We start from the raw sequence: 23,416 nt of genomic DNA, 5'->3' as shown, positions 1-23,416 counted from the left end.
TTCCATGTGGTGTTAAGCCTGAAGGTGCACAGAGTACAAGAATTGAGGCTTGGGAGCCTCCATCTAGATTTCAGAGGATGTATGGAAACACTTGGATGTCCAGGTAAAAGCCTGCTGCAGGGGTGGAGCCCTCATGGAGAACCTCTACTAGGGCAATGCAGAGGGGAAATGTGGGGTTGGAGCCCCCACATAGAGTACCCACTGGGGAACTGCCTAATAGATAGGCAGTTGAGAAGAAGGCCACCATCTTCCAGACCCTGGAATGGCAGAGCCACTGACAGCTTGCCACCATGTGCCTGGAAAAATTGCAAGCACTCAATGCCAGCCCTTAAGAGCAGCCATGGGGGCTGACCCCTGGAAAGCCACAGGGGCAGAGTTGCCCAAGGATTTGGGAGCCCACCCCTTGCACAAGTGTGCCCTGGATGTGGGACATAATGTCAAAGATTATTTTGAAGCTTTAAGATTTAATGACTGCCCTGCTGGATTTCAGACTTTTATGGGGCCTGTAGCCCCTTTCTTTTAGTTGATTTCTCCCTTTTGGAGTTGGAATATTTACCAAATGCCTATATCCCCATTGTATCTTGGAAGTAACTTACTTTTTTTTGATTTTACAGACTTATGGATGGAAGAGACTAGTCTTGTCTTAGATGAGACTTTGGACTTTTGAGTTAATGTTGGAATGAGTTAACACTTTGAGCAACTGTTGGGAAGGCATGATTGTATTTCTCAATGTGAGAAGGACTTGAGATTTGAGTGGGGCCAGGAGTGGAATGATATGGTTTGTATCTGTGTCCCCACCCAAATCTCATGTTCAATTACAATCCCCAGTGTTGGAGGTGGGGCCTGGTGGGAGATGATTGGATCATGGGGGCAGATTTCCCCTTTTGGTGCTGTTCTCATGATAGAGATAGAGTTCTCATGAGATCTGGTTGTTTTAAAGTGTGAGGCACCTCCGCCTCTCTCTCTTCCTTCTGCTCTGGCCATGTGAAGTGCTTGCTCCCCTTCCCATCCATGATTGTAAATTTCCTGAGGCCTCCCCAGAAGCTGAGAAAATGCCAGCATCATGCTTTCTGTATGGCCTGTGGAACCATGATCCAATTAAACCTCTTTCCTTCTTAAATTACCCAGTCTTAGATATTTCTTTATAGCAATGTGAGAAGAAACTAATACAGTAATATTTCTCCATCTTTCAATCGGCTCCATAAATTGTGACTGACATGTTTAGTAACTTGAAACTCCCACTTCTGCTATATTTATTTGGGAATGCTGTATTGAATTTAAATAGATATGTTGTAAATAAAAAAGTTTAAAAATATTTTTATATTCAAACAGCAGTTAATAATTGGGTAAAGTGGGAATTATATTGCAAAATCATTGTGAGCTATTTACCTTTTAAAAGTATAACTTTTCTAGCTCTAGCACTAAAAATGGCCCACAGAAGAATTATCCATTTTAGACTCATGGAACAATTTGATATGCACCCTTAGAACCCTAAATGAGGTCTCTAATACAGCACTGAAAGAATGAAGGCTTGGTGAAAAGTAGATAATTCCATAACTTGGTGCCTATAATATCTTATTTCCAGAAAGCAAAATGCTTTCAGACTATGACTATGTGGGTGACACTGACAAGACAAGAACAAGCTTAAAAAATCTTCCACTGGAGATATTACAGTTTGAACAATACAAAGGAAACACCTAAAAGTATATTTCACTGGAACAAGTGTGAGAAAAATCATGATCATATAATAGTATTCCAGAAAGGATAAACCATAAAGTGTGCTAAAAGAACATTTCAACTCACGAAAAGGATGATTATGTAGTATATATTAATTAGTGGTTATCATGTTATCCTATTTTTTATCACTTTACTATTTAATTGTATAGTATTGGCATTTTTATTATATCAGGAAATTATTGGCTGGGCATGGTGGCTCACACCTGTAATCCCAGCACTTTGGGAGGCCGAGGCAGGAGGATCACTTGAGGTCAGGAGTTTGAGACCAGCCTGGCCAACATGGATAAACCCTGTCTCTACTAAAAATACAAAAAATTAGCCAGGTATGGTGGTGGGCGCCTGTAGTCCCAGCTACTTGGGAGGCTGAGGCAGGAGAATCACTTGAACCCGGGAGGTGGAGGTTATAGTGAGCTGAGATCACGCTGCTGCACTGCAGCCTGGGTGACAGAGCAAGATACTATTTCAAAAAAAAAAAAGAAATTATTAAATATATTTGTTCATTTGTTTAAGCATATCAAAATTTGTGGTTATAAGCATAGTTGGTCCATTGATCATGGCAGCAAGAATGAGAGTTGATAAAAGAGGAAAAGTAAAATATTAGAAGGGTGTGGAATCCAGTCAATTCGCAGAGTAATTAGTTACAATCTGGATAGAGGGCTCATTACATCATCAATTCAAATCAAGAGCCCAAACATTGTGAAAGTGATCTCTGCTATAAGATGGATACATGCTCCAGGTTTTCAAGGAAAAAATGCTGGCCTGAAAAGGTCCACTACGTTAGAAGGATTTCGGTTTGTATTGTCAGTATGCCTATGCTTCTGCTACAGAACAAAACACCATAAAACTTAGTGGCTTAAGTTTTCTCTGAATAGTTTCCCCTATTCTGTGGGACTCTTCTGGTCTGGTCTGTTTTGTCTTTGTGCTGAATGTTCAAGGCTGAATGGTCAATGTCTGGTAGTTGGACGGTTGCTTGGCCTAGGGAGGCTTCAACTAGGATGGCCTGAATCTGCTCCAGGTGATGGCTCATCCTCCAGTAGGTTAGCTCAGGCTTTCCACACGTGGAAGCCTAAGGATTCCAAAAACCTGCAAGGGAGAACAAGCCCCAGTATGTCACATTTGCTATTGTCCCATTGGCCAAAACAATTCTAATGAAAAACTCAGAATCAGTGTTGGAGAGGATTACTCAAGAAGATGTGAACAAATTGGGGACTGTTACTTTAATAACCTATTGCAGTTTGTTCAGTTTGATTCATTGTATTTTTCAGGTATATATTTTTGAGGTATTGTTTAAAGGCTTATAAATAATTTTCATGTTAAATTTATAGGTCTAGTCGTTGGCATTTGAAATGTTTAAGAGAAGCAGGCACAGAAAATTTCAATGTGATTTGAGATGTCTAAGGAAATTTAATTAATCAAGTTCTAAGTAGTATTAAATATTTAAGAAGGATTTGGCCTGTTACATTTATGAGTTAACACATGAATCAAAGAACAAGCAAAAGTGATTGTTTTTATTTTCTACAAATATTATCAGAGTAATGAATGGACTTATGAGCTTTGTTAAGTTGAATTTAAAAGCTTGAGAAAAACTAGGATTTAGATTTTGCAACTCAATTTAAGGGACTAAAAATCAAAACACATTACTGTGAAAAAGTTTTCCACACGCAGAAACCCCGCTTGAGATTTAGTAAATCTCAGTTGACACATTTATTCAATAGTTTATTCAAATCATATTTATGGCCAGGCAAATGGCTCACACCTGTAATCCCAGCAATGTGGGAGGCCGAGGCAGGTGGATCACTGGAGGCCAGGAGTTTGAGACAAGCCTGACTAACATGGCAAAACCATGTCTTTACTAAAAATACAAAAATTAGCTGGGTGTGGTGGGGCACACTTGTAATCCCAGCTACTCAGATGGTTGAGGCATGAAAATAACTTGAACTGGAGAAGCAGAGGTTGCAGTGAGCTGAGATTGTGCCACTGAACTAACTATAGCCTGGGTGACAGAGCAAGAGTCTGTCTCAAAAACCAACCAAACAAACAAACAACCATATGAACCATATGTATTAATCATCTACAGTGTATGTATTAATCTAGGCACTGGGAGTATGGTTGTCTTAGTCTGTCTTCTGTTACCTAACAGAATACTATATGCTGGATAATTTATAAAGAAAAAAAAACTTACTTAGTTCATGAATATGGAGGCTGAGAAGTCCAAGAACATGGCACTGGCGTCTGGTGAGGGCCTCCTTGCTGTGTCACAACATGGCAAAGGGCATCACATGACAAGTGGTCAAGCATGTGCATGTCAGCTCAGGTCTTTCTTTCCCTTCTTATCTTCCTCTTCTTATAAAGCCACCAGTTCCATCATGGGGGTGGGGGCCCACACTGATGACCTTATCTAATCCTAATTATGTCCTAAAGGTTCCACTTCCAATCAACATTTGAATTTGGGGATTAAGTTTCCAAGACATGAAATTTAGGGGACACATTCAAACCATAGCAATGTTAGGAAATGACTCCCAGTCCCTTCCTTCATTCAGACTTAACACCAGCAGCGCACATATTGGAAAAAACAATTCAAACAAACGGCATGATTTCAGATAATGGAGACACAAATATCAGTCAATCAGAGACTAATTCCTAATCCCATTTTCCTCATTGTGAAGGGTATTCTGTCTCCTCTCCCATTTTCCAGGAATGGGATCAGTGGGCATTTCCTTTTTCCCATAGCCAAAGACACCACCAAGTGCTCCATTTCCTACCTGACTGATTCTTGATACCAGTCTACTGCTTCTTTCATAATCAGTCAGTGAATCCAAAACTGTTGTTTGGCTATCAACTGTCTCCTTTAGACACTTCTCGAGGGCGCTTCTGTCAGGGAAGAGAAGTGAAGAGAAAAGTAAGAATCCAGAGCACATGCAATAAACAAAGCAACCCAAAGTTGATAAGCATTCAGCAAGCATTCACTGAACACCTCACATTCAGCTAAGTGTGAATGGTGAGAAAGCAACACAGGAGGGAGGAAGCCAGGCTCCTTGCCATCAGGGGGGATCAATCTTGTAGACAAGGCAAAATTACATTTCACCCAAGACACCTATATTTTTTACATTTTAAGATTTCTAAAATGGGACTTCATCTTACAATCATGACACCTTCGACTGGATGAAATACAGTAACTACAACACAAAGCAGCATTGTGCCCTGAGAGGTGTGCAAAGCCTACAGCAATTAGGACACTGGACCAAGGTCAGGGTGCATATTAGAATCACCTGGGAAACTTTTAAAACTACCTTATGCCCAGATCCCACTCCAGACCAACTGAATCAGTATGAAAGAGTGGGGTTGAGCATTTTGGCATTGGTACTTTTTTTTTTTTTCAGACGGTGTTTTACTTGCCACCCAGGCTGGAGTGCAGTGGCATGATCTCAGCTCACTGCAGCCTCTGCCTCCTGGGTTCAAGTGATTCTCCTGCCTCAGTCTCCCGAGTAGCTGGGACTACAGGTGCCTGCCACCACGCCTGGCTAATTTTTTGTGTTTTTAATAGAGATGGGATTTCACCATGTTGACTGGGCTGGTCTCGAACTCCTGACCTCAGGTGATCCACCCACCTTGGCCTCCCAAAGTGCTGGGATTACAGGCATGAGCCACCACGCCTGGCCAGCAATGGTAGTTTTTAAAGCACCCCGTGAGATCCTAATATGTAGCCAGAGTTGAGAACCAGGATAGTAATTTCAAATGAGAGTACACATTCCCTGAGGTTACCTGAAGACTTTCCATGGGGCATGCTGACACGAATACTTTGGTAGAGGTCAGCACACTAGGGCTTATGGACGAAAGCTGCTGCCTGTTTCTGTACCCCCCAGGGAGCTAAGATGGTTTTTACATTTTTTAATGGTTGGGGGAAAAATCAAAAGGGAAGTAATATTTGGGGACACATGAAATTCAAATATAAGTGTCCATAATTAAAGTTTTATTGGAGCATAGCCATAATCTTTTGTTTACATATTGTCTATGGCTGCTACAAGGTTGGAGTTAAAGAGTTGGGATAGGACCATATGGCTGGCAAAGCCTGAAATATTTACTATCTGACACTTTACAGAAAAAATTTGCGGAGGCTGGCTTGAAGAGAATGAATCTTCAGAATCTCAACATTTTATGTCCTATTCCAGAAACTGACCTGCCTGTAAAGGTACAGCTGTTAAGGTGTCAGGTGTGGGTGGAGGCTCATCCCCTTTCCCATGCTTTTTTCATAGTTGTCCTCCCACTTTCAGAAGAAAGGTAGGCCTCTCACCAACACTGGGGTATGAAAAAAAACCCTAGGCACCAGACAAAAGAATAATCCCAAATACTGGTGTCTGATGGGGACTCTGACCACTGGGTAACCATATGTATCTATATATCGATATATATGTGCATTTGTGTGTGTGTAATATATAGTAAATCAGGTGAGTTCCAAATATTGCCTTACCAAACCTGAAGGAGAACCCAATCAAGTTGTCAGCTGGCAAATTATTGAAAGTATTTGGCTGAGTGTAGTGGTGCATGCTTGTAGTCCCAGCTACTTGGGAGACTGAGATGGAAGGACCTCTTGAGGCCAAGAGTACAAGTCCAGCTTGGGCAACCTAATGAGACCACATCCCTAAAAAAAAAAAAAAAAATTAGTGACGGATGGCTATGTGATTTTTGGCATATAACTTAGAAAGGGTTCAAAGAATTGAGTAACATAGTGATAAAAAATTAATGTCATAATTATTTATGGAAACAAGGTACTTTAAGGCTTACATCTAAAATATGTTAAAATGCTGAGTATTGTCTCATAGGAATAAGCAATATTCACAGATACGTGAACTAATTAGGAAGAAAAAGCCCATTAATTTCATTAATGCCAGCAGGGGGCAAAGGCCTTGAGCGTTTTGGACAGTGAGAAGCCCCATTGCCCCAGATCTGGGAGATCCTCTCCCGGCCGGTGGAATATGCAAGGGAAAGGCCATGTGAGTCTAGATTCCATGGTGTTAATGCCAGGCAGAGGCAGACTTTAACAGACAAGGAAATGAAGATGATGATGGGTTCAGGAGGAAGAGGATAAAAAGTTTACCGGGCCGGGCGCGGTGGCTCACGCCTGTAATCCCAGCACTTTGGGAGGCTGAGGCGGGTGGATCACAAGGTCAGCAGTTCGAGACCAGCCTGACCAACATGGTGAAACCCCGTCTCTACTAAAAATACAAAAAAATTAGCTGGGCTTAGTGGCGGGCGCCTGTAATGCCAGCGACTTGGGAGCCTGAGGCAGGAGAATTGCTTGAAACCGGAAGGCGGAGGTTGCAGTGAGCCGAGATTGCACCTCTGCACTCTAGCCTGGGCAATGAGAGCAAAACTCCATCTCAAAAAAAAAAAAAAAAAAAAGTGCAGTTTACCAAAGGCAAATGTGGCCGGAGCATGTAGGATGAACTAGGGAAGAGGAGGCTCGAAGCCCCGGACTGGCCATGAGGCTGGCAGGAACCTAGAAGAGGGGAAACGCGTGCCCGACTTGGTATCGTCCTGGAGGGTCCAGAGAGAAGAGGATGCAGGCAGCATACGTTTTAAGGGATGAGTCGTCGGAACTGGATGCTAATCAGATATAATCAGCTGACGACATTCCTTCTGTGGAGTAAGCCACTTGGGAAGACAGTCTTGGGTGCGGAGGGGACCCAGCGGGACGAGACCAGGTGCCTGCTGGTCTCCCAGGTTCGCGCAGGAAGGCTGGGAATTTCCTTGCCTCCTCCCCACCGCACCATCCTCCACCCCCGGCCCGGAGCTGTCTCTACCTGGAGAGAAAAAACGGAAAGGCCGAGAAATCAGAGCCAGAGGGCAGAGTGAAAGGGGTGGGGATGGGAGAGGATACAAAGGGGTTAGGACGAAGAAAACGGACTTCCTAGAGTCCCGACTTGAGGGCTTGACTTCAAGAAGAGAAGAGAAGTCTGAAACGGGGGCGAGAGCAAAGGCAGGGGGTTGGGGTGGTCGGGGGGGGGCGGCGATTATAATCGACTTTTATGGCTTGACGGCCAGGGCAGAAATTAAATTTGGGGGCCGGCTAAGGCTAGAGAGTAAGGTGACGGCTCGCCCCGCGGGTTTGGAGCTGTGCGCTGGGGGCCAAGGGAGCAGCGGGAGGAGCGCATGCCTGGGGCGCACGGGCCGGGAGGGGCGGGAGGAGAGCCCAGTCCCCAGCTCAGATTACTCTCCTAGGCATGGTCCCCACCAGAGCCGGGGCTGGAAGCTGGAAATCCGAGTAGAGCTGACTCGGACTTAGCTGCCCAAGGGAAAGCCTCCGGGCGGTCCTCGCTGCGCCCCTAGTCCGGGGCCCCGACCCCTCCCGGACACTGCTTGGGCCATGCGGGCGCCGCGTTGCCGGCCACTCGTCGTCCCGGGGTCCCAACTGGGGCCGCTCCTGCTGTTCTAGAGCTTGCTGGCCCCGGCGCGCCTCTCTTGCAGCTCCTGTACTACTCGAGGGGACCACGTCGTCCCGGAGGCGCGGCCATCGAGAGGATGCTGCGGCCGCGGGGCGGCGGGGGCGGGCGTTTCAGGGCTACTCACCCGAGCTGGGAAGGCAGGAAGTCTGTGCTGGCTGGGGGTTGGTCTCAGAGGGACTCTGGGGCTTGGACACAAAAATCGCGGCGCACTGGGGAGGACACCCGGAGCGGTGGGAACTGCGGTGTGGACCCGGGAGAAAAGGGGGTTGGAGGTGGGGGGAGATCGCGCGGCACGCGTTGCATAACCTGACCTGCCCTCCTGGGCTGGAGGCAGGAGTGACACCTCCGCCTGAGCCGCAGTTCAGAGAAGGCTACCGCGGCGCTGGGTCCTGCGGGACAGCCAGCAGGGCTGGGGTGGAATGGGGGCAGGGGAAGGAGCCCTGAGAGGAGCCAGGATGGGTCTGGACCTGGCTCCAAGTCGCGTGCCCTACACACCCCCTCTGCGCTGCCCAGCGGGGCACGGCCCGACCTCGGAAGGCCCATCCGGCTCTCAGAAGTGGCCGCTCTACCAGCTGCCCATAATGCTGCCGAGGAGCCTGTGCCAGTCCCACGGCTGCCGTGCAGCAAGCGGGCGGCCCGACTGACTTCAGCCACGTCCCCTGCGTCAGACAAGTGGGCGTCCCCTGCGTCGAGACAAGTGGGGGATCCGCGAGGCCTGCAGGGGCGCAGGGACCAGAGTGCTAAGACGTGGCATGACCTTTCAGGGAGAACTGCGCAGAGGGTGGCCAAGGGTCACCTCCCTCGAGGGGCGAAGCCCTGAGATGTGAGGATGATTCTTAAGACAGCGCCCTTCCCGCCCCTTCCAACCCCCCAGACCACCACCCGGGTCTGGGAACAGGGTGAGCGCATGGCGAGAGGTTGTCTGGTTTTGTAGCTATCAAGTTGTACCCCCGCTGTGCCCATAGGAAGTGACTCATCTGCTTGTCAGGTAGTGGCCTTGCTGTGAGCCAGGACCATATTAAGAAAAGAAAGAAAAAAAGGAGCAGCAAAACACTGTGCCCCTGCACAATGTGCTCTCCTTTCTTCTGCCCTCCCTCTCCTAGGCTGTCCTCTTCTTCCTCCACTTGTAGTTTGCTCAGCCCCCTCCCATCCACTGCCACCCCCGCCCAGTTGAATAATGCTCGTATCTGAGTCAGCGGATGTGAAACAAAGGGTTATTTCTCCTTATCTAATTTTGTGGAAGATTGACTAAAAGAGGGTGGAGAGTGTGTCTATTTAGCAGGAAAAAGATGTTTTTAACGTGAATAATATTGAGAAATGTGCTGTGACTTTCACTGTTGGGCAAAGCAGGGAGACGCCTGCCTAGCTGGCCCTTCCTGCAGGCTTGGTAAAAAGTCCTCTCCGGTGGAGGGTTGGTGGCCATTTGTCAGGTACCTAAAGAATACAAGGCGCTATGCTAGGAACTAGAACTGTACAGAAATATCCCGAAGGCTCTAATGTCATGGGACCTAACTCATTTCGGAGGAAGTAAGGCTTGAAGGTAGAGAACTATCTTGCAAGGCCGCCTGTGGCAAGCTCTTTGCACAATCAGTGAATGTACAGAAATCCAGGGTAAACAAAAATTACTTCCAACTGGGATATACTTCATAGAAAAGGCATCTGGGGTGGGGCGCAGTGGATAACGCCTGTAATCCCAGCACTTTGAGGGGCTGAGGTGGGTGGATCACCTAACTTCAGGAGTTCCAGACCAGCCTGGCCAGCCTGGCCAACACGATGAAACCCTGTCTCTGCTAAAAAAAATACAAAAAATTAGCTGGGCGTGGTGGTGGGTACCTGTAATCCCAACTACTTGGGAGGCTGAGGCAGGAGAATCGCTTGAACCCAGGAGGCGGAGGTTGCAGTCAGCCAAGATGGCGCCACTGCACTCCAGCCTGGGCAACGAGAGCAAAACTCTGTCTCCAAAAAAAAAAAAAAAAAAAAAGAGAAAAGAAAAAGAAAAGGCATTTGGACAGCCCTGGGGTTGGCAGAAGACTTCCGGATGGTAGAAGCCAAGGTCCTTGGGTGGGACAGGATAAGGTATGTGGCTAGAGTGGAGAATCTGTGTGGCAGGAATGTGAGAAAAGATGCCAGAAAAGGAGATAGGGACTCCTCTGTGTGTGGCATGGGAACTGGGCTTTGACTTTCATTGCATAGTGAAGCAACTGAAAGTCATGAGCAGGGGCACAGCGTGGCTCCAGAGAGGGCTGGAGAGAGATGCTTGCTGGCCATATTTGTCTGCAATCTTCCACTCTTCTTTCTTCTTACTCTACCCTTTTTTTTTTTTTTGACAGAGTCTCGCTCTGTCACCCAGGCTGGAGCGCAGTGGTGCCATCTCAGCTCACTGCAAGCTCCGCCTCCTGGGTTCAAGCCTTTCTCCTGCCTCAGCCTCCCAAGTAGCTGGGACTACAGGCACCCACCACCACGCCTGGCTAATTTTTTGGTATTTTTTTAGTAGAGATGGGGTTTCACCATGTTAGCCAGGATGGTCTTGATCTTCTGACCTTGTGATCTGCCTGCCTCGGCCTCCCAAAGTGCTGGGATTACAGGCGTGAGCCACCGTGCCCAGCCACACTCTACTCTTTGTAAACCTGGCTCACATAAAACTCATCTCCATGGGCAAACAGCTCTGCTCCAGTGACTGGTCGTTTTCAAGAGAAAGAAACCCCGGGCTCTCTCTCTCTCCCTGGTGTTGTAGTGATATAGTGAGGGGCTTACAGATGTGGCTTCAGAAGACCTGGATTTGCATACCAACTTCACTGCTTACTATCTCTGCAATCTTGGGGAGTTGCTGCCTGGGTCTGGGTTTCCTCAATTCCACCATGAAGGCACTGAGTGAGCCTTCTTAAAGTGAGCCTGCACCACCTTCCAGATTATAAATTTCTATTGAAAGCCCAGTTAGATTTAGCCCTCCATGACTCTATTCTGAGACAGAGAGGAGGCTTTTGCAGGCCTGCTCTGTTGCTGACTCAGGGCTGCAGGCACAGGACGTGGGGCTTGATAAATAAGTGTTGAATGAAAGAACAAAAGAATGCAATGCATGAATAAAGCAATGAATGGTTAGCTCTGCTTGGAAAGCATTGGTAAGCTGAGACCAGCCCCAGCACGGGTTCTGGCTGCCTGGGGTTAGCACCTCAAAACCCAGATAACTCTGATGTTCCCACAAAAATCAATACTGGAGAAAGCATCAGTAATTGCATTTCCTGGGCAGTCGTTTGGCTTACCCTTTCCCTACCTGTCTTTCTTGCCATTTCCCATGACTGTCATCCAGAGGAATCTCTGTAAGGAAAGACAGCAGCAACTTGGAGCTGGTCACTGTGAATGTTTACACACAATTTTATAGACAGAATGTGTTTCATCACAAATTCTTTTTTCCTGAGCACTTGCTATTTTGACCTGTAGTGTTAGAACAACTGTTTGGTTTAACCCTTTTATCTTCTGGTTGCCAGAAGCTACTTTCAGCCACACCACTCTTCCAGAGTGTACAAAGCTGTGTTATTTGTGCCAGGCACTGTGCCAGTGGTTCACATTTCATCCCATGCTCACAACACCCTATGAGGTCAGCATGATTAACCTGTTTATTAGAGGCTGGGTGATTGGCCCGAGATCAGCAGCTAGTGCAGGTCAGAGCAGGGCTATGCATGTAACATCAAAGCCTACTTTTCTTTATCAGGCATTCAGTAATGTTCACTGAATGCACAGAATTGAATATAATCTTTCATTTCTCTTTTTAACCTTTACCACTGTGGATAGAGAATAGTGGCCTACCTTTTGGAAGTGTCCCATTTTTATTATTTAGAGAGGCAGCATAGCGGCAATTAAGAGCATGGGTTCTGGAGCAAAACTGCGTGGTATAAGTCTTTGCTATGTGGGACCTTGGGCCACTTAGCTCACCTCCCTGGGCCTTAGTGCTTTCATCAGTACAAATGGCATAAGGGTACTTAGCTCATAGGATTGTTGTCAAGATTAAATGAGATACATGTATGAAGTGCTTAGTGTGATGCCTGGTGCGGAAAAGGAGCAATAAATATTAGCTGCTCTCACTGTCATCTTCATTGTCATGAATATTCTCCTCTGATTTTTGCAAGATCTTTCATGTAATGCCATTCACAAACAGGAAGCTCATAAATAGTATTCTTATCCTACTATTTTTAAAGAATGGGTGGTTGGCAGTTCAAAGTGAAGAAATTAGGGATGACTGTTGGAGAGGAATTTGTTGGACAGAATAAGATGTGCCTTAGTATCTAAAGAAGATTCTTAATGAATTTTTAACATTATTAAAAATGTTAGGTTAATGTAAATTCTACATTGGAATTAAATTATGAGGAAGATGTCCACTATTTCTTCCCTAAACAAATGAATATCTTTTGACTTACAAATAGATATGATATCTTTTGACTTATAATAGATGAAAATTACATTACTATTATAGAACCAAACTTGGGTCTGCTCTCCCGGTACAGTAAAACCAGATATCTACAGTGAAGTTTTGCAGCAATAGAAGGAAAAGCATTTATTTGTAGGGTGCCAAACAAAAACGACTAGACAGCTAAAAACCCGTGTGGCTAGAACTGCTAGTAAGAGGGAGAATGATATAAAAACAGAATTAGAGAGGAAAGCAAGGGGCGAGATTACTGAGGGCATTGGGGTGAGATGGAGCAGGAGCCCCCTCTCTAGAGGCCTGAAAACCCCAAGCATGGAAATAAAGAAAAATCTGGAGTTCCTTAAAGGGAAATTCCAGGAACCTAGCTAGCCCCAGAAGTAAATAAGAAATTTGTCAAACAAAAAGGTAATAGTAGTCTAAAGCAATAGCCAAGGAAGTTAGAGTTCCAGAGATGTTTGCTTTCCTTATGGAAACTAAAGATAACATCTTAACATATGTCCCTGAGTTGTCTTTCAGGGCCCTCACTGAATGGATCTGCTGGCCTGTAGACCTCAGATAAGTGGAAATTGAAAACTGAACTCTGACCACATTCTTTGTCCTAAAATTTTTCCAGAGGGGCTTAGAGAATGTCACAGTCCCCTGGGGGCTCTGGGGACACAGAGCCAAACTATATCATTCTGCTTGACATTTTTCTGCTGATCCCAGTTTTTTTTTTTAAAAAGCTTTTCCTCCTAAACCAATTGCAAATGAGAAAGTCTTTGAATCTACCTATGACATGTAAGCCTGCTTCACGATATCCCGCCCTTTTAGGCCTAAGCCAACATGTAACCTCCATGCATTGATTTACAATTTTGCCTGTAGCTTTTGCCTGTGCTACAGGCAAAATCATAAAACAATACATGGAGGTTACATCTACCCCTGCTTTTAAAAATCCCAGCCTGCAAGCCATCCGGGAGTTCAGGTCTTAAGCTTGAGCTGCCCTGATTCTGCTTGCTTGACGCCCTGCAATCAGTGCCTCACTTTCTCTCACTGCTATCCCAGTGTCAGTGATTGGCTTTACTGAGCCAGGTGAGTAGATCGAAGTTCAGTTCTATAACATGTCTCTCTTTTGTCTTAAAATAACCCAAGTTTATTTTTGGCTTAAGGGCTTTTGAACTTTCTATTCTTGAAGCACTCTTACTCAGATATTCATTGAAGTTGGTCTATTTAGGGGAGAAGGCATTGAGAAAAAGATAATTAAAAATGATTTTTTAGGCTTTTGGTTTGATCAACTTGGATGGATGGTGGTTTTCCCTTTACTGAGGTGTGAATAGTGGGGGAGGAGATGTGGAATTTGAGATGTCTGTTACTAGCTTACGTTTATAGAATGCTTAAGTATTGTATAACAAATTATCCTGAAACTTAGTGGCGTAAAGCAGCATTTATTATCTCATTGTTTCTGGAGATTAGAAATCTAGTTGTGGAGTAGCTGGGTCCTCTAGCTCTGGGACTCTTGCAGGGCTGCAGTTCTAGGACTCAACTGGGAAGGATTGTCTTCCTAGCTCCCTTGGGTGGTTGCCAGCAGAATTCACTTTCTTGCAGGTTGTTGAACTAAGGTTTCATTTACTCACAAACTGTCAGCCAGAGGTCTCCCTCAGTTCCTTGCCACATGGACCTCTCCATAGAGCAGCTCACAACATGGCATGACTTCATCAGAGAAGGCAAGACACAGTGCTAGCAAGATGGAAGTCACAGTCTTTAGTAACCTAATCACAGAAGCCATGTTAAATCCGTATTAGTTGGGGTCCTCCAGAGAAACTGAACCAATGGGATATATATGTATATGTGTGTGTGTGTGTGTGTGTGTGTGTGTGTGTGTATATATCTATATCTATATCTATATCTATATCAAGATGTATTATGAGGGATTAGCTCATGTGATACGGAGGCTATCTGCAAGCTGGAGGGCCAGGAAAGCCAGTAGTGTAGTTCCACCCTAAACTTGAAGACCTAAGAACCAGAAGCAAAGATGTTCAACGGCAGGAGAAAATGGATGTCCTTGCTGAAACAGAGTAAATTTGTCCTTTTTTTTTTAGAGGGAGTCTTGCTTTGTCATCCAGGCTGGAGTGCAGTGGTGCAATCTCAGCACACTGCAGCCTCCACCTCCTGGGTTCAACCGATTCTCCTGTCTCAGCCTCCTGAGTAGCTGGGACTACAGGCACCCGTCACCAGGCCCAGCTAATTTTTGTATTTTTAGTAGAGACAGGATTTCGCCATGTTGATCAGGCTGGTCTTGAACTCCTGACCTTGAGTGATTTGCCCACCTCAGCCTCCCAAAGTGCTGGGATTACAGGTGTGAACCACAGCACCTGGCCAGTTTGTCCTTTCACTATCTTTTTGTTCTATCTGGGTCCTCAATGGATTGGATGATACCCACTTACATTGGTGAGTGCAATCTTCTTTACTCAGTCTACTGATTCAAATGCCAATGTCTTACGGAAATATCCTCAAAGATACACTGAGAAATAATATTATACCTGCTATGCGGGCATCCCTCAGCCTCATGAAGTTGACATTAAAAAATTAACTGTCACACCCTCACTTTTGCCAAATTCCATGTATTAGAAGCAAGTCATTAGGCTCAGCCCACACTCTAGGGGAAGGAATTATACAAGGGCTGATCACCAAGAGGTGGAGACCACTGGGAGCTATGTCTGAAGCTGTCTATCACAGGTATGTGGGCACTATCCTAAAATGCTTTACATGTCTTAAGTCACATAATCCTTCCAGCACAGCTTAAGATAGATATGCTATTATTGACTCAATTTCACAAATGAGATATCAAGAAGTAAAGTAACTTGCCTGTGGTCAAACAGCTAAAGTCAGTGGGGTTTGGAGATTTGAACCTAAGCTGTCTTGGTTCAGCATCTGTATTCTTAACCTGTTTGCTGCACTATTTGAAATGGAGGCGTCCAGTAAGAGCTGGAATCTGGACTTCTTGGGAGAGGATTGGACTGGCAAAAGAGATTGGGAGGATGAAATTAACGAATCCTAGAAGAATCACAACTGATTTTCAATTTGTTTCTCTTTTGCACCCAGACTTCTCTCCAGTGCCAAGGAGATAACTTTTCTCCTAGCATCTTTGTAACAGTGAAAAGGAGGCCTAGCTCAACAAACTCCATTTTGCTCCTAACACCCCCCTTCCCCCTCCAGGTGGTACCTTTTAGATTAACTAATTTTTATTATCTCTGCATGAAGGCCAAGAAAATGATATGATGGAAGGAATTTAGTTTGTAGTTTAACTTTAAAGCAAGGATAATAGGATGCTAGTTCCTTCCCAAAACTAACCTCCAAGGAGGTAAGGAGTGTGTACATACAAGGAACAATGTTATTTTAAAGATTTATGGGATCCTAGCTTTCACTCGGTATATGAAAAAATAAAATAATAATAAGAAATATATAATTAAAGATTTATAGGAGCATTGTGACCTGACCAAGGACAAAGAAGTTTTCCAACTCCCTCTCAGATGCTCTCTGCTGCCCAGATGCCTATAACCATCAGTCACCTCTTGAACTCCATCTCCTTCTACCCTCTTCCCTTAACAATAAAGGGACCGGAAATGCACATTGCCTTAAGACAGTTCTTTAGGACATTAGTCCATCATCTTCTCGGTTGAGCAGATAAACTGAGTTATTGCCCTCTTGCCCCAACACCTTGTCTCGTGACTTATTGACTGTCCTGCAGTGAGCAATACCAGCTTAGACTCCACTACATTATCTTGTAGTATTCATCTGTTCCCTTACTTTTGACAAGTGTTTACTGACTACCAACTATGTGTAAGGAAAGTGCTAGATCCTAGGGAATATATTTTTAGCTCTCTGGATACAGAAGATGAAATTTAGTTTGAGAAGTTATTGAACAACTTGTTCAAAACATCTACTTAACTGTCATCTATTTCAACTTGAACTGCCTTTCTATTAAATGTACCACTATTAAATGTTGTGATGGTACTAGAAAATCAGCAATTTGTAAAGCATTTGCACAAATTCTAACAAGGCTTACCACTTCGGCTTTTTCTATTATCTACTTAGCAATCAAAGCAACGCCTTAATTTAACGTATGATATTGAAAATAATTTTACAATATTTCCAATTAAGTTAATTTTCACATTGCTTTTGTGCTCTTTGTCATCACATGGAGAATGATGAATTCTATTTTACATTTCATTAGTGAACATAAGGTGTGTTTTTCCATTTGGGTCACTATTAGCTCTCTATTATCTAATTTCAAAAATACTGAGTTCAGTACCCAATCTACAAATTATACAGTAACCACTTCTCTAAATGAACCACAATTTAGAGTTAAGCTCACAAGCCATTTCTTCATTTGTGCAAATGTGTAACAAGCCAAAGCTTAATGGTTCATTTCAGTTAAGTAGGTTGCACAAAATTTAGAAGTTTGTTAGTAAGAAATGTGACCTAGAACCATTATGGAAATGAAGAAAAGATGAAATTACACAGTTTAGACCCATATTATCCAACTCCTAATTTAGTCAGAGATTATTGAAGTGACAACTCTCCTTTTTATGAAATAAAATACTTGAAAAAATAAGAACATTGTTCTGCTTTTAATCTCTGCTAAATAGACAGTTAGTTACCAGGAGAAATATGTTGTAAAAACCAGCCTATGAAGAATATCAGGAAAGAAAGTAATGTTACCTGGAAAATCTAACCTACTAAATTTTGATAAGCATATGAGCCACCAATCTAGTTACATTGCCAGGAAATTCTGATAAAAGGCAACTATTAATTTCTAAAGGATAAATCTGACAGAATCTCAGGATAATTCCATTTGGACTCCTTATTTTTTATTATTATTATTATCTTTTTTTTTTTTTTTAAATTTATTTATTTTTTTTTTTGAGACGGAGTCTCGCTCTGTCGCCCAGGCTGGAGTGCAGTGGCGGGATCTCGGCTCACTGCAAGCTCCGCCTCCCGGGTTCACGCCATTCTCCTGCCTCAGCCTCCCAAGTAGCTGGGACTACAGGCGCCCGCCACTACGCCCGGCTAATTTTTTTGTATTTTTAGTAGAGACGGGGTTTCACCGTTTTAGCCGGGATGGTCTCGATCTCTTGACCTCGTGATCCACCCGCCTCGGCCTCCCAAAGTGGGACTCCTTATTTTTTTTTAAGTTTTTGTGCTATTGCTATGGAAATATTCTGATGATTTACATGGTTGTGCTAGAGTTTTTTAATTTGTCTATTAGAATTGTGAGAACTTCCTTTACAAAAGTGCTCATTTTTATGTAGCTAAGAGACCAGTACAGATCTTCTCCAAAGAATATCATCATCACAAATTAAATAAAAACTTAGCATACAAAAGGATTCACATTTTACTGCTGAAAGTGCCTCCGGATCTAAATCAGCCCATCAATCAAGGCTTTCTTAGACACTGACTAAATGTTTAGCATAATCCTGAGTACTCTGGGGCTGTGGAACTCTGCATCTGCTGAACGCCAGGATCTAATGGGGAGCTTTATCAAATAAACAGGTTCCCGGTGGCTCCACTTCTGAAGATTCAAATTGGTGGCTTCTGGCATGAGGCTCTTGGGAATCTGGTTTTTTTGTTTGTTTGTTTGTTTTTCTTTTTTTGTCTTGTTTTGTTTTTAACATCACAGGTGATTCTGATGATTAGTCAGGACTGGGAACCATACCTGCTGTGGTTCCCAAAATCTGGTCCCTGGACCCACATTATCTGCATCACCTAGCAACTTATTAGAAATGCAAATTCTCAGGGCTGTGAATGGAAAATAAAAATCTCGGGACCCCGAACTCACTATGCCAAAGGGAAAGTGAAGCTTGGGAACTGAGTCACACAAAAGCAATCAAACTGCCTTCCTTTTTGTTCCCAACCAAATAGCTGCAAAATAGAAGGTCACATATCTTCCCAGGGGTCCTCCCTCACAAATTGCTCACAAGGAAATTCCTCGTGGACTCCACATCTTTCAGAATACATATCCCTCCTATAAACTTGCCCTAAAATAGAGTGCTGTTGAATCTTACCCTGACAATGCAAATTAACAGCTTATTTTCACAGGTAAGGGCCAAACATAAGACTAGAAATTCCTCCACCCACCCCAAACAAATGCATAATTGAGTTCTTCCTCTACTCTATGCTTACTTTATCTTATGTAAAATGTAGATATACGCAGCATGAGAAGAATGCATAATTGACTTTAACCCCACCACTCTCTTTTCACATGTAAAATGTGGATTCAGTGAGTAGTTTTTAAGGGCTAATAGAAGCCTCACAAGAATGTAAACATGTTACTGCCTACACCCAGCCTCTTTTTTTTTCTCCTTCCTCTTCTACCTGCTCTTTCCTCTTTAAATATTGAAGTCCTCAAAACCCTCTTTGGAAAAAGTACAGGCCGCAGATTCTACTGTAACTTGTGTTTCTTTTTCCCTGGCCACATCCTCAACCTTGGCAAAACAAACCTCTAACTCGATTGAGATCTGCCTCAGCCACTTTTTGGTTCACAGGCTCTATTCAGACCCACTAAATCATAGACTCTTGAAGTAGGGATTAACAATCTCTGTTTTATCAAGCCCTCCAGGTGATTTTTATGTTTGATACAGTTAAAGAATCATTTCAGATTTTTAATCTACTGAGCTTAATGACCTTTTCTTCATATGAAGATTGATGTCAAAGTTCTTTCTTTCTTTGCTGCAGAGCTAAGGAAATAGGACTTACTTTTTTCTCTTCGATTACCTAGCCAGCCACTATACCCTTCAGGGTTCTCTTATTCTTAATATGCCTGAAAAAGTGTGGAGAGGAAATAGCTTTCTCAACTTCCCACTTCCTTGCTGCTTGGGAAGACAAGAATATATGTAGACAGGCCCTTCTGCTTCCAAGGAAAATAGGAAGGAGATAACAAATGATAACCAATATGAAGATGTGTCAGAAGTTCTGGAATTTTAAAATGACTTTCTGCCCTGGTCTTGTACCCCCGGTTTTTATTCCTGATTATGGAGCTCACACCCTCCCCACTTTCTCACTCCTCCTTTAGCAAACCCTTATGACTCTTCACACCAATTCAAGGTCTAAAAAGAAAATACAGCCAGCCAGAGATGGCCTCTTTCAGCATAAATTTTATTTTTACTTGTTAATGGAAATCTCCCTAAAACAAAATTGTAAGAGTTAAAGAAACAGGAAAGAGACACGAAATGTGGTTTGACAGTAAAGACAGGTTTACTTTTGATAAAACCTGAGAGGGGCTTCTGGCTGACTTTGGTTAGGAGCACTTTCTCTTACAGACTAAGAGAACATATTGGTTTTAGGGTAAGGGGGCTTATTAGAAGCTTGGAATGTTTCTGTGTGAGGGACAAGTTTTATGGTGGGGTTGGAATGTCTCTGGGAGGAGGGGAGTTTATCTTGGGGCAGACATCTTTCTGGCTTGGAGTGGGGTTATCTCGGAGCTGGCATCTTCCTGGCTGGCGGGGGGTTATCTCGGGGCTGGCAAGTCTCTGATTGGGGAGGAGTTTGGAATGTTTCTGGTTGGAGATGTTATTTGTGGTTATTGTGGTTTATGCTGACCTTAGCCATTAGGCTGATACCCTTTGGATTTAGGCGTTTTTTTTTTATTAAGGTGAACTTTAGAATGAGGGGCTTGTCCAAGATGGTGATGCTCCTGCTCTGTCAAAAATTTGTTTACTGTCATCTGGATTTTTGTTGATGGATCATTTAGTATTATTACAATGAACATTAACTGTTATATACTGCAACAAACAATGATGTCATGGACTTTAAAGACTGAAGATGTGTTTAGCCATTAAATGATCTAAGATGTCTAGGATTTTATTTCTTATATTTATATTTCTTTCTTTTCACTACCAAGTGATCAGAAAATCTGCCTAAATACCTTTTCCAATATTAGTTTTTACTGCTTTGAATTTTTTGCTTTTAATTTGTGAGGGCTGGGAAACCAGAAAATACGTTTGTTAAAATTGTGTTTTAAATGAGTACAGCAGATTAAGTTGTGTGATACTCAATGCTGATGAGGTTGTATTAAAGTTAGAACTTCCTGATTATTGTTTGAAAGCATTAATGTAATCCTTTGAGAAAGCAATTTGGCAACATATAACAAGATCCTTAAAATATTTATATTCTTTAATATAATATTCTTTTTTCTAGAATTAACATAAGAACTTAATTTATTGCCAAAGTATTTATCCACAATGAAATTTTAACGTAATTTATAATAAGGGAAAAGTGTAAATGATCTAAATATTTAATAGAAGAGTTTTCAGGTAAATTATAGAACCTTTAATGAAACTGTATATAGTCATTAAAACTGATTATACAAAGATTATGAAATAACTTTATCTTGTGATACATGAATATGATAGAATATTAAATGAAGAAGGTAATTCTCACATCCACTTGAGACCTTAGAAATGATGTAAAAATAATGCGTATTTTATATAAGTTATCTCATTTAAACCTCACAAAAAACCTCTAAAGTGAGTACTATTATTATCTACATTTAATAGATGAGAAAACTGTCACCAAGAGTTTAAGTAACTGGCAAATAATTGTCAGAGCTGAGATTCCAACCCCAGCAATATGGGTCCAAGAACCTGTGCTTATAACCACTGGGCTTTAAGCAGAGACATCTCAGTTTATGCTTGGTGTCCTAGCATGATTATTTATAGTGTCCCATTTCATTCTTAGAAGTCACAATTTGAATGATAAATCATATGGTTACACTAGCTCTACATGAATACATGGCCATGCTAAAAAAATAAGTAAATTATCAATAGATCAGAAACTATGGGGATTTTTTGAGACTAAATCCATGTAGAATCAGAGGAAAGAAGAAACTGGTAACCCAAACCAGCTGAGGGAAAGAAGAGCATGAGCACAAAGAATCAGTGACCAAGTGGGCCTCATGCCTGGAGGCTATCAAAGTCAGGATGGCATCCAGGAGCAATTGGTGTGGGAAGTAGTGGGTTACTATAGCAAGAATAGTGAGTTCAGTTGTAGTAGATTGCAAAAATGCTCACAATACATCTCCAAACAAGAGAGTAGGGAGATGTGTTCCCACCCCTTTGAATCTGGGTTGGCCCTGTGGCTCTCTCTGACTGAAAGAATGTGATAGAAGTGACACTGTGTGAATTCTGGACACTGCCACCAAGTGAACAAGCTTGGGCTAGCCTGGTGGAAGATGAAACCACATGGAGAAGGACCAAGTGTCCCAGCTGACAGGTGGCCACCTGCCAGACATCCAAGTGAGGCTACTTAGGATTCCTCCAACCCCTGCCTGCCCAGCGGATCAGCCAACTGCCAACTGACTGCATATCTTGCAGCTGACTGCAAATGCACGAACAAGACCATAGAAAAACTGCCAGGTTGAGCCTAGCCCAAATTGCTGACCTGCAGAATTGTGAGTTGAAGAACATTGTTATTTTAAGCCTCTGAGTTTTAGGGTAGTTTAGGATGTAGCAAAAGTGAACTAATATACCAAGAAGCCCTTGCAAATATCTCCAACTTCCACCCCTCAAAAGTCCGGGCAGTATTTATTTGGAGGTGTCTGTGACAGGCAAGAGCAGTGCTTGGGACAGAAGAGTAGTGACTATATGTCTAAAGTCATTTGGGAAAAATTAAGATCAACTGAGCCTGGAAAAACGAGCCATGATATATCACAGCCAATAAGATATGTAGTTCCTTCTAGAAGATAAATCACGTATATCATGAGATGAGATGAGAACATGGCAAATTTTGCCAAATATCTAAGTGAACTCTGTCTGTATCCAGGAATTATTCTTACTGTTATTTAATGTTGCTGTTAAAAAAGAAGAGCCTAACCATTAGGCCTGCCCCTCAGTATAACTCACATACTAGAATTCCAACTGACTGTTGCTACAGCCCATAAATTTTGCCCCCAGATAAGTAATAAAAAGAGTTAGAACGCTTTCCCCCTTGGAAGCAGACACTTGGTTATACCCATAGGTTTGGCTGTAAATTGCAGGAAAAGATCCTCTTTCACTGTCAAGATAATAAGATCTGGCTGGATGTGGTGGCTCAAACCTGTAATCCCAGCACTTTGGGAGGCTGAGGTAGGCAGATCACCTGAAGTCAGGAGTTCGAGACCAGCCTGGCCAACATGGCAAAACCCCATCTACTAAAAATAAAAAAATTAGCCGGGTGTGGTGGTGTGTGCCTGTAATCCCAGCTACTCGGGAGACTGAGGTGGGAGAATTGCTTGAACCTAGGAGGCAGAGTTTGCAGTGAGCCGGGATCATGCCACTGCACTCCAGCCTGGGTGACACAGTGAGACTCCATCTCAATTAAACAAACAAACAAACAAAAATATAAGAAAATCAGAACTGCTTACCAGTTTGCAAAAATTAATCCATCTTACTAGCAGAGGGTGATTTTATTTATTATTGAGGTGAAATTAATATAACATGTAGTTAGCCATTATAAAGTATACAATTTAGTGGTACTTAGTATATCTGCAATGCTGTACAACTACTTCCTTGGAGTTACAAAACCTTTTTTCACTCCCCAAAGCATCCATACCATTAAATATTCACTCTCCATTGTCCCCTCCCCTCATTCCCAGTTAACCACTTATCTGCTTTTTGTTTTTATTATATGATTTGCCTATTCTGGATATGTCATACAAAAGGAATCATTCAACGTGTGACCTTTTGTGTCTGGCTTCTTTCACTTAGTGCAATGTTTTTGAGGTTCATCCAAGTCGTAGGATGTATCAGTACTTCATTCTTTTTAGTGGCTAAATTATATTCCACTGTATGTATATACCACAGTT

The 23,416-nt window shown here is 43.0% G+C and overlaps 1 long non-coding RNA gene across 1 annotated transcript, besides 6 other annotated features; it reads right to left on the bottom strand.

The window, feature by feature from the left end:
• Positions 1-1,809: 1,809 nt before the first annotated feature.
• On the bottom strand, positions 1,810-8,840 carry LINC00941 (long intergenic non-protein coding RNA 941). Its single transcript, NR_040245.1, has 5 exons — positions 8,305-8,840; positions 6,206-6,376; positions 4,500-4,608; positions 3,920-3,987; positions 1,810-2,820 (listed from the first exon to the last, which is right to left on the bottom strand). It is a non-coding gene; the product is annotated as a long intergenic non-protein coding RNA 941 (long non-coding RNA).
• Positions 8,049-8,550: an enhancer, noted in NCBI's record as "H3K27ac-H3K4me1 hESC enhancer chr12:30948905-30949406 (GRCh37/hg19 assembly coordinates)". NCBI's record gives its function as "activates a minimal SCP1, AML or CMV promoter by ChIP-STARR-seq in naive H9 embryonic stem cells {active_cell/tissue: H9 hESC(naive)}" and the evidence as "EXISTENCE:reporter gene assay evidence [ECO:0000049][PMID:30033119]".
• Positions 8,551-9,050: an enhancer, noted in NCBI's record as "H3K27ac-H3K4me1 hESC enhancer chr12:30948405-30948904 (GRCh37/hg19 assembly coordinates)". NCBI's record gives its function as "activates a minimal SCP1, AML or CMV promoter by ChIP-STARR-seq in naive H9 embryonic stem cells {active_cell/tissue: H9 hESC(naive)}" and the evidence as "EXISTENCE:reporter gene assay evidence [ECO:0000049][PMID:30033119]".
• Positions 9,553-10,052: an enhancer, noted in NCBI's record as "H3K27ac hESC enhancer chr12:30947403-30947902 (GRCh37/hg19 assembly coordinates)". NCBI's record gives its function as "activates a minimal SCP1, AML or CMV promoter by ChIP-STARR-seq in primed H9 embryonic stem cells {active_cell/tissue: H9 hESC(primed)}" and the evidence as "EXISTENCE:reporter gene assay evidence [ECO:0000049][PMID:30033119]".
• Positions 10,053-10,554: an enhancer, noted in NCBI's record as "H3K27ac-H3K4me1 hESC enhancer chr12:30946901-30947402 (GRCh37/hg19 assembly coordinates)". NCBI's record gives its function as "activates a minimal SCP1, AML or CMV promoter by ChIP-STARR-seq in primed H9 embryonic stem cells {active_cell/tissue: H9 hESC(primed)}" and the evidence as "EXISTENCE:reporter gene assay evidence [ECO:0000049][PMID:30033119]".
• Positions 11,056-11,557: an enhancer, noted in NCBI's record as "NANOG-H3K27ac-H3K4me1 hESC enhancer chr12:30945898-30946399 (GRCh37/hg19 assembly coordinates)". NCBI's record gives its function as "activates a minimal SCP1, AML or CMV promoter by ChIP-STARR-seq in primed H9 embryonic stem cells {active_cell/tissue: H9 hESC(primed)}" and the evidence as "EXISTENCE:reporter gene assay evidence [ECO:0000049][PMID:30033119]".
• Positions 18,531-19,032: an enhancer, noted in NCBI's record as "NANOG hESC enhancer chr12:30938423-30938924 (GRCh37/hg19 assembly coordinates)". NCBI's record gives its function as "activates a minimal SCP1, AML or CMV promoter by ChIP-STARR-seq in naive H9 embryonic stem cells {active_cell/tissue: H9 hESC(naive)}" and the evidence as "EXISTENCE:reporter gene assay evidence [ECO:0000049][PMID:30033119]".

The sequence above is a fragment of the Homo sapiens genome, chromosome 12, assembly GCF_000001405.40.
Source record: "Homo sapiens chromosome 12, GRCh38.p14 Primary Assembly".
Lineage (NCBI taxonomy): Eukaryota > Metazoa > Chordata > Mammalia > Primates > Hominidae > Homo > Homo sapiens.
This window is presented reverse-complemented; position numbering and strand designations above follow the sequence as displayed.